At 39.4% G+C, this 10,045-nt stretch overlaps 1 protein-coding gene and 1 long non-coding RNA gene across 53 annotated transcripts in view; one reads left to right on the top strand and one right to left on the bottom strand.

The window, feature by feature from the left end:
* Positions 1 to 10,045, top strand: part of LOC105376095 (uncharacterized) — an 84,799-nt gene that overhangs the window by 16,492 nt on the left and 58,262 nt on the right. The gene's annotated exons all lie outside the window — the stretch shown is intronic.
* PRUNE2 (prune homolog 2 with BCH domain) overlaps positions 1,977 to 10,045 on the bottom strand; it is a 294,739-nt gene continuing 286,670 nt past the window's right edge. For 21 of the 40 annotated variants that reach the window (XM_017014349.2, NM_015225.3, XM_017014346.2 and 18 more), the window contains 2 exons: positions 9,941 to 9,988; positions 1,977 to 5,201 (listed from right to left, as the gene is read on the bottom strand). In XM_017014349.2, the coding sequence (XP_016869838.1) occupies positions 5,171 to 5,201; positions 9,941 to 9,988 (79 nt within the window). In that variant the 3' untranslated portion in view covers positions 1,977 to 5,170. Of the gene's footprint in view, positions 5,202 to 5,697; positions 5,839 to 9,940; positions 9,989 to 10,045 lie in introns of those variants that run through there. The other 19 variants (NR_131751.2, XM_047422884.1, XM_017014352.2 and 16 more) reach the window with 5 other exon arrangements.

Here is a 10,045-nt window from a genome sequence, read left to right on the forward strand (position 1 = left end):
TGTAGTTTCCTGTATTTGTGTTTTTGTTTTTTGCATTGTTGCGCTTTTTGTTGATTTTACTGTTTAAAATGGCCCCCAAGCTAGTGGGGGCTATTTGGTATTCCTAATGCAAGGAGGCTGTGATGTGCCTTATGGAGAAAATACCTGTTGCAGAAGCTTCATTCAGGCGTGAGTTATGTTCAGGCTGTTGGCTGTGAATTCAGTGTTATCAAGTGAACAATATACATTAAATACAATATCTTTAAACTGAAAAACACATAGAACAAACTTATGTATTGACCGGTTGCCCGAGGAGCAATGGATCAGTGTTCACTAACTCAGTGTTCTTGTTGACTTTATAGGACATAACTACTGTGAAAAATGAGAGTCAACTGTAATTTGTTAATACAGCAATAGATATTGAATACTGTGGGAAAGCAGGGTAATTCAGCTCACTGGTCTAAGGAGGAAGTTTCACAAGGAAAGCGTGATCCAGTGTTAAGGGCTATAGGTCTCTCACTAGAGGTAAGGCTAGAGAGATCATGGGTAGCAGTTATTGGTGTCTAATGTCTAAGTATCATTGGAATGGTTATATCTTGAGAAGAAATAATTTTGTCTAGTTAAAGAGGGTTATTTTGAATGGATGTGAATGAAACTATCTAGGAAAATCAGGCTCGTGAGGCAATCTGCTTGCTCCGTAAAGCCCACAGCTGTGTGAGGATTGATGTGTCAAAAGGCACCAGCTCTGAATTAAAAGTTCCATGACTGCACAGGATGATGCAACCCAGGGCGGGCTTCTGGCACGCTGCAGCACATGGACACAGCCAGCACAGGGACACTGCACACACAAGAGAAGCTGTAGAAGGGAATGGCTCCTCAGGGATCCACAGTGCCCCAACACAGCTTTTCTGTAATCTATGACTGAAAGTCTTGGCTTCCACGACTGAAGTTGTCTTCATTTTATTTATTTTTAACTTCAGCTTATAAAAGGCCCCTTATGATTTTGATTTTTAATTAGGCTCCCAACTTTATCACTGATCTCCATGCCCTACCCTTACCCAAATGAGTGTGTTAAGTCCTTAAATACACATGGATTTTGGATAATACGTAGTTTTGTGTGTGTATGTTTAACAGTTATGTAAGTGGCACTGTGCTATAAACATCGAGTTTGTTCTTTTTCCGCTCTACCCTATGATTTAAGTGTTGCTTTATGAACATATAGTATGTTGCTTCTCACAGCTGTGGTATACTAAAAGGTGTATTCAGCACGATTTACCCAGCCCTTTCCCTAGTGCTGGACACCTAGCCCACCTCCAGTTTCCACCACCATAGTTAGGTACGAGAGCAGAATGAATGTAGCAGTACGTCTTGTAGTTGAATGTCCTTCCTTTGCCTGCAATTACTTGTCAGCCTTTTCTTCTGTTTCTTCCCTTTCTTGGGTAGAGGACAATATCTACCAGAACTCATTTTTAGATCATGAGAACATGCAACGTCTCACTTCTTGTAGAGCAATTTCTCCTTTGGCTAGTCCAACAACTTTCTCAGAGGTACACATGTGTTTATTAAGTTAAAAAAATAGCACAGTGGTAATTCTCAACTCTGGTTTTGCCTGAAGGTTGTGAAAATGGGGAAAAAACCCCAACTAAAAATAAAATGATATTTAAACATTTTAATTTAAAAATAAATATATGCCATAAAAAGGCAAGGGGAAGAGAGAGGAAAAGACAAAAATCAAGTAACCATGAAACATGGAGATGTTTCCAAAGTAAGAAATCGCTTATCCACAGAGTAAACAACAGTTTGAAAGCTCGGTGTATTGAACTCTGAGATAGGAAAGGCAAAAATGAAGAGAGAATAAAGTTTGGGTGTACAGAAAAACCAAAATGTATACAGTCCTCCAGTACCAAGTGCCAAGCTAGATTGATGTTGAGATAAAACTGCTGCAAAGTGAAGCCAGAGAAAAATTCTTGCTGACTCAAAGAAAGAAAACCATCACATGCAGAATCAATTTTTATTTCTGAATTATACAGTGAGGCTATATAGATATATTGTGTCATTAAAGACTTTTATATTATTAATCTACATTATGGAGAATTTATTTACCAAAACGAAGTCTAACAGACACTTTATTCTGAGCAATCCAATGCATGATAGAAAAACCTTTAGATATATAAAAGATTAATTTGTGCACATCTAAATGTTTCTAAGGGAACAAACTACTGAGGCATTGTGATAAGACGAGAGTTGCAAACATAGTACCATAACTGAATATTTAAAATTACATCTTAACAAAGGCTAGGAGTAGTGACTTCCTCACACACCTCAGAGAATGTCTTAGAGAGTAACCCCATAGAACATTGTATGGCTTCAACAGAAACTTCAGGATTTTCTTCCACACTGAGCTACTGCCCTCAAACAAACTTTCTCACTCCTTGACACTATCTTCTGTGCAAATTTCTGTTCTTTCTCTTAATCAAGGAGCTTTGAGAAACAATGCTTTTGCCCCAATGACCCCTTGGTTCCCTTAACTACAGATCTATAGGAGAAATGCAAAGCAGTTCCCAGAAGTCAGAACCAAAGCAAGAATGTTCAGAGTGCAAGAGCTAGAGAGCTAAATCATGTGAATGTTTACCTCTGTCTACCTATCTGCTTAGGGATTATTTTTCTAGGATTCATCTAGGATTCTATTTACTTGGGGTGAATGTACATGGTAGCTTTTCCCTAGCACATGCAATTAAATTAATTTGTCTTTTAAGATAATAAAATAGCAGATACCTAAATATCAGAGTGGTTATGCAGCCTACAGAACAGCTGAAACAAAATCATTGGGACAAATGCCCATAATTTTCATGTAGGAAGATGAGGCTTCAAACAGCATACCACCTGAGTAGTTTTCCATAGATGAGCTGGACAAGTTAAAAATATATATATAAATGGTGAGATTGTTGCTGTGTCTGTTTGGCTATAACAAGAGCCCTCTATGAACAGCTCTATGCCCTCAGGTTTGCACCACTACACTGAACACTGGATTTTTCATTACTTCCTGTGACAGGGTGACCATGGAATTCATTTTACAAAATGGGATGCTACTGAGTGAAAGTAGCAAATAGGTGAACAAACAGGAATATTGGGTAACTGTATTTACGTCAACACTGTGTTCTGGGAGAGGTGTAATTTGGGCTTTCAAAAGTGGAGGTGGGCTGTGGGAGGGGGTGGGCTGTAGGGTTTTTCTGTCCAACAAGCCAGATGTTATGAAGGAGGAGATCCAACAGAACATACAATTCAACAAGATACTCGCTTGAAAGGATCAAGAGGAGAAAAGAGAAAACGATGGAGGCTTATGGAGGAAAGAGGGCTGAACTGCGTGTGTGTGGGCACGTGCGGAAGGACGGGAGGAGACAGAGGTGAAGCAATGAGGTCAGAGAAACTCAATCACCTGTGCAAAGATGTCGACTTTAAAGTAGTTACAAGCTCCTTCTACCCAGGACTCCAAATATCCTGGACAGCTCTCCCCAATGAATTTTCCACCATGAGACTAGGGTGGAACCGCTCTCACCCCTTCATTTTTATTTCTGCCAGCTTCTTTGTAATAGGAGACACTGGAGACTAAGAATGGTTCCCAGAGTGAGGCACGGACTTCAGCCAACACCTGTATATACTAAAGAAGTGCTTCTAAGAAGGCTTCATTTTGGCAATTGCAACCTAAGCAGTGATTTTGTGGCTAGGACTCCTCATGTTTTTCAGCAAGCCATTTCTTTTATTTCACTGTCTGTGGATGTCAAAACATTGATTTTTGACAAAAATAAATTAGTTTGCAGCCTCATTTGTCCGTTCTGTTAGAGAAACTATCTAAATACAAATTGGGGTGGAGTAGGAAAGGATGCGTTTGCTAGAGCAGGGGTCAGCAAACTTTTTCTGTAAACATAGTCAATGTTTTAGGCATTGTGGGACATACGGTCTGCTGAACTGCTCAGCTCTGCGGCTGTAGTGTGAAAGTAGCTGTAGACAGTACAAAAACAAGTTTGTGTGGCTGTGTTTCAGTACCACTTTATTTATCGGCACTAACATTTGAATAATTTTCATGTGTCATGAAATATTCAAAAAAAATTTTTCCAACCCAAAATGTAAAAACCATTCTTAGCTTGCAGTGGTGAGCGAGACTTAGCTGTGGTTTGCCACCCCACCTCACTAGAGGCCTACAGACTTGAAATCTTGTTGGCATTTTAAAGGGCATATGAAGACTATAAAGGAAATATTTTGTACATGAAAGTAATACTCATATTTAATTTTAAGCCTATGATCAGATTACGGTGTTTTAAAGCAGATCACTTTTTATAATGCATGCGAGAGAGGAATTCATGAATAACTGAATGCTACCAAATGATTTTTGAGTAGGCCACCTTGCACTTGAGTTCTTGGCACTTAAAAGGTAACCTCTGGAGCTGAGTTTATGGCCTGAAACTCAGAGAGCTACCAAACATGCAACACGGATTCTTAAATTTCACAATGTGGTGGTCACCAACATTCATCAGGAAAATGATGTTAAAAGACCAATTTACATAAAATATAATGCCCAATTTGACAACTAAAATAAAGTTGACGTGGATTAGAAAGCCCGGCTTCCCTTTGAGAAGTTAAAGGAGATTCTGGTAAACAAGAACAAAACGGGCACTTAGCTGATGATGGTTTTACACCTTGTGTGGTTTGTGGCTGTCCTAGTCAGGCTTAGGATTTTAAAGGTGGAGTCAAACAGGGGAAACTTTCCTGGGGAGAGTTGAGACCTGTGTACTTTAAACCTAATGCAATCACCAAAAGGAAATCCAGCTAATCTATGGAAACAAATCCACTCATACTTAACAGTGGATTAAAGGTATCTTACTGGTAAACACCAGTCTAAGGGACAAAGTATCACTACACCGTGTTAATGAAGTATTGAAATGGAAGGTCCTACTTTCTTGCTAAGGCTCAACTAAAATCTTTGAGGCACATAATTGGCAAAATAGGAAAGTACACACAATTTCATAAAATATCTTAAGAGTAAACAAACTTTCTATTTTTCCCCTTAGAAATTTAGAATGGCACCAGGTAGTGCAAAGTGGAAAAAGGTAACATCAGCCCTGTCTCTTTCAGGTAGATATGTTTCAACAGAACCATGAACCAGAAAAGCATCCTCTTCTTCCAGCATGGCCAACTAAGGCTTTTCTTTCAGCTTCAAGTCAATACTGCAAAGAAAAGAAAAAGAGAGAGAAACATGAGAAACCAAATGAGAGACATTTAGTAATGATTTGGGTAGCACTGTGTTTGCTTTTTTCCTCAAAGGACATACTGAAAATATTTAAATCATGCAAGTTTCTTATAATAGAAAAATCTGGTAAAACCCAATCCTCCTCTTGTCAGGCTTTTCTCCAACATATGAAATCTGTTTAGTTCTACAAAATCGTTTCTGGAAGCATTTTACACCTTTTCAAAATGATCCAGGGAGGTAAAAAACTCATGTAAAGGCTCATTCCCAAAGTCAATTAAGATAAGGAGCATTAGTGTATTCCAGAAATCATGCCATTTTATTTAATAAGTGACCTTTCCTTGTGAAGCAAACAAATGTTCTGCCTCAAGTAAGTAATGTCTGACAAGCACTAAATAGTAAGAAATGGTAAACAACAAAACAACACCAAACATTTTCTAGAAGCCAAAGGAATTGACTGAAAGGGGTTAGCCTACCTTACTGAGATGGATGTTTATAACTAAAGAAAAGCTTGTTTTTCAGAAGGTCAAATGGGTTCCCAAGTATCTGAGGAGTAAGCCTAAAACTCACTCGAATCACGTCTCTCTTCTGCTTCTTAGTGAACACAGCACAACTTCCTACCGCATCCACCCAAGAGGAAGAAAACCAAAAGCCAGTAAATAGAGGAAGAATTTCAGTTGCGATAAAAGAGAAACTATTAGTTTGCAAAGGGTGATTTGGCACGTATCTGTGGATTTTGCTTATCTCTGCTCCCTGAGCCATAAGCTTGCATGTTGCAAAGGTTACTGTGCTTTACTTGTGGAATTTGCGGCAGCTGAGCAGTGTTCATTCTAGAAGCTTTGCAAATAAAGCCACTGGCAACTCACGCTGCCTGCCCATCCAGTTTACAGTAGTAAAGTATCTTTCCTTTGAAATATAGTCAGCAATTCCGTCACTTATTAGCAGTGGGGACTTGGCCAAGTCACCCACCTTCTCTAAGTTTCCATTTCTGTATCTGTAAAATGGAACGGTCATACCGCTTTCACAGCTTGCTAATGAATAAGTCTAAAGCATTTTCAATTGTACATAATGAACATATCATAATGTCTGTTATTATTAGCAGCAATAGTACCTCGGTGGATTTTTTTTGTTGTTGTTTTGTGTGTGTGGTTTTTTTTTTTTTTTTTTTGAGATGGAGTCTTGCTCTGTCGCCATGCTGGAGCTCAGTGGTGCGATCTCGGCTTACTGCAACCGCCGTCTCCTAGATTCAAGCGACTCTCCTGCCTCAGCCTCCCGAGTAGCTGGGATTACAGGCAGACGCCACCATGCCCAGATAATTTTTTGTGTTTTTAGCGAGACGGGGTTTCACCCTGTTGGCCAGGATGATCTCGATCTCTTGACCTCGTGATCCGCCCACTTCAGCCTCCCAAAGTGCTGGGATTACAGGCATGAGCCAGCATGCCCGGCCCCTCAGTGTTTTTTTGAAATGAGCAAATAGCTCTTCGCTTTATTACCCTACTTGCAACAATCTTGTCTCCTTTGGAAAGCCAAAATCATCATGAATATTTCTAGTTTTCAGGCCCTCTGACTTGTTTTCTTACCTGCAGAGTTTGCTTTAGAGGTATCCTCTTTTTATCCACTGTGACCCCGACATCTTTTTCATATACCTTTACAAAACAGGTCATTTAAAAAATATACTGTTTTTGCTTTTAAAAGGTCCTTCCTGTTCCCGGAAATCTGTAGTAAGTTTGATTTGGTGATTGGAAATTTGATTCTTTCTCTCACGGTGTTGGTTGACTTTTTCCCATAGATGAAGAGAATATTTACTAAACCAAAATTTGGGGCACATCGTCTAAAAACTGCGAGAGTGGGTCAGAATATGTGAAATAGTCTTGGAAGCTTAAAAGAACATGGTCACCTTGTTTCACCATCGGGCCCCTGAGCTAACACTTACACCAGGATGCCCATCTCGATTATTTTTCGTACTGACTTTTTTGTAAATCTTCTAGGATTTAATTCATCCCTTCAGCTTTCGTTAACTCAAAAGCTAAAAGACTGGAACCTGTTTACCCAGTTTATGAAATAAATGAGATAGTCAAAAGTGAACAATTTTCTTGTAAGTAAATACAGGAAACCACTTGGAAGGTTAATATTTGAGAGAACAGCAACGTTGTGGAGTTAACAAAGCTATTAACAATGATGCTAATTTAAGCTTCTTCAAATAGAGCCACTCTTGATCACTGTACTTTAAACAAATATGTAAAAATATAAAAAGGCATGTTGCAAGTTTTGGAACATGAAGAAATTCATAAAATCCAAACCTAAAAGGGAAGGAGACAAGCACCCAGGGCTATTTAAAAATAAATAAATAAATAAATACATAAATAAATAAATAAATAAAAGTATCCTTTTTGGAAAAAAGAATACTTTTAATTAGAATTGAATATTCTTAATCCTCGGGCAAATGGGCTTAGTTTTCTATAAGCAACTTTTTCCTGAGACAGAGCAACCTTCTGATAATTTTACAATAGGCCATTTTTGTGTCTAACACGTATTAAATGAGGTTCCTTACAAACTGTCAGACAATATTGTTTAATGATGAATAAAAACATTTGCATTTTATGTAGAAAGAAGAAAATGGGCATAACCTTCCCTTCTGTCTCTGAGGAAAATGAGAGGCCACTACGATAACAGCACACACTCCATCTTATTCTTGGACTGATCGAGCCCATTGGAAGAACCCTTGCCCATTTTGCAGTGTATTCATTCAACACTAGCTCTGGAAGGTGTAAAATGCTTCCACACAGAATGCTCCTCTGTCCTTGATGGCCTACAGTGTAAAGGTGCCAGAAGAAGTAAATGCAGCCCTTATTCTAATACCAAAGAAAGCCAGAAATCCAGGACTGGAAGTCAGAAAAAAAAAAAAAATTCTTGGTTACTCTTGCCCCTTATCCTGATCTCATCATCCACACTGTGATCTTGTGCCTCTTAAGGGCTCAGGAAAGAGAGGGCTGAAGAAAGGGAAGACTTGAGAAGAATATGTTCTTCTAAAAAGTGGGAAGTAACAATAACAATTTGTAGTATCCCTCCCTCCTCCATGCCCAGCCCTGAAATGAACCCAGACAGGAAGCAATGGTTGCCCTCTTCCCAACCAAACAGCCCTACGTAGGAATAAGAAGCAAGACAGACAAGGCAAGCAAAGAAGTGGGTAAGCCCCAAGATGTAGCAGCGATGGGCCAGCCATTGGCTGGGCTTCCACATGTGCCCTCTCTGCTGCTTGTTAACTGTGGGCTCTGTTAACTGCTCAAGGGGGGTGCTGTTTTGCTGAGGGAAGAAATAGTTGCAAAAAGAATTATCGTGCACTGGGGAATTGAGGTATTATTGCTTTGCAGAATTTCATGTGCCAATTTCCTTGAAGCAATTGTTATCTTCATCTAAAAGAGGTGGGACAACAGTGACCTTTGGAAAAATAGCTGTGTGATTTCAAAGGTCTCTCTATGGTCTTTGTTCTTTTTTTAAAATTTTATTTAGAAAAAATAAATTTTCCTTGCAGAGCAGGGCTAACTCATAGGCATGCATCCAGAATTGGCCCAGTCTTTGCTCTTTGTGAACTTTTTCAGTTGGGACTGTCTCTGGAGTTTTTGTGCCTAAACTTCCTTTAAGTTGCAAGGTCAACATGGCAAATGTGAAGATATTTCACTATAATTTTCCAACTTCCTTTTGGACCTCAACGCAAAGGAGGTCCAAAGACAGCAAAAGGTGACAATAGAGATGAGACACATTTAAAACTGATCTTTCCCCTCTGCTTCCTGATTGCTAGGAACAAGGGCAATGTTAAATTCTCCACAACTCAAACCAAATTGGAAGCTCCTTGTCGGATGACCAAGTTCTCTCTGAAAGCTTGCTGGTGACCACAGTTTATTCCCTGAAACTGACTTGGCCACTAATTCGCTCTGTTCTCTTAGGTGAATAGTTTTGTCTTTCATTAAATTGGAAGTGGTACACCCATCTAGCATTAAGACCACCTCTTTCTGATTTAAAAACCATTGGCCCTGGAGCTATACTGCCAAGGTCCAAATTCCAGCTCTGGGCCATTTTTACAGCTGTAAAACAGTGGGCTGGTCAGATCGTCTCTCCATGCCTCTCTTTCCTCATCTGTGAAATGTACCTCATAAACTTATTCTGAGGATTAAAATCAGACACTGCGTGTGAAGCTTTTTACAGTCTGGAACGTGGTTAAGAACTCACTACATGTCCAATTTCTGCTTCTCACAGGATGGCAATCCTCTAAATAGATCATTCCTACAGTCTCATACAGGCTCGAATTCCTCCTGGATGTTGCAAAACAAGCACATTTTCTCTCCATCCACCAAAGTATTAAATGGAAGTTCCAACTTCCACTAATTAAAATAGAGATGATGTCATTCAGAAAGCAGAATTGCATTCCTCTTGCCCAAATGTTCTTACATCTGGTCCTAATATTCATTTTCTTCCCATTTTTGGATTGGAAAAATAGAATGCCATGTCCACAGGTTGTCCTTTAGAAATTTAAGGGGTGATCGTGAATGAAATGGTGTGAAGCTGGCAAATATAGCTTCAGGTTTCTAATTTCAGGAATGGAGCACAGGAAAGCTGAACATCTAAACAGGGTTTACCCAGTCCTCAGTGTGTTTTCTTTCAGAGCCCAGCCATACAACACTACAAGTAACCACATAGCTGTTATTGATGGTGAATTCTTACTCCTTCTCCATAGAAGACATTTCTGGATCATTGTAAAGGCAGCTAGTTCTGAGTGCAAGGAAAAAATAGGAAGCAGTCAACATTTCCCCACTGTCACCACTGTGA

This window comes from Homo sapiens, chromosome 9 (genome assembly GCF_000001405.40).
Source record: "Homo sapiens chromosome 9, GRCh38.p14 Primary Assembly".
In the NCBI taxonomy this organism is placed as follows: Eukaryota; Metazoa; Chordata; class Mammalia; order Primates; family Hominidae; genus Homo; species Homo sapiens.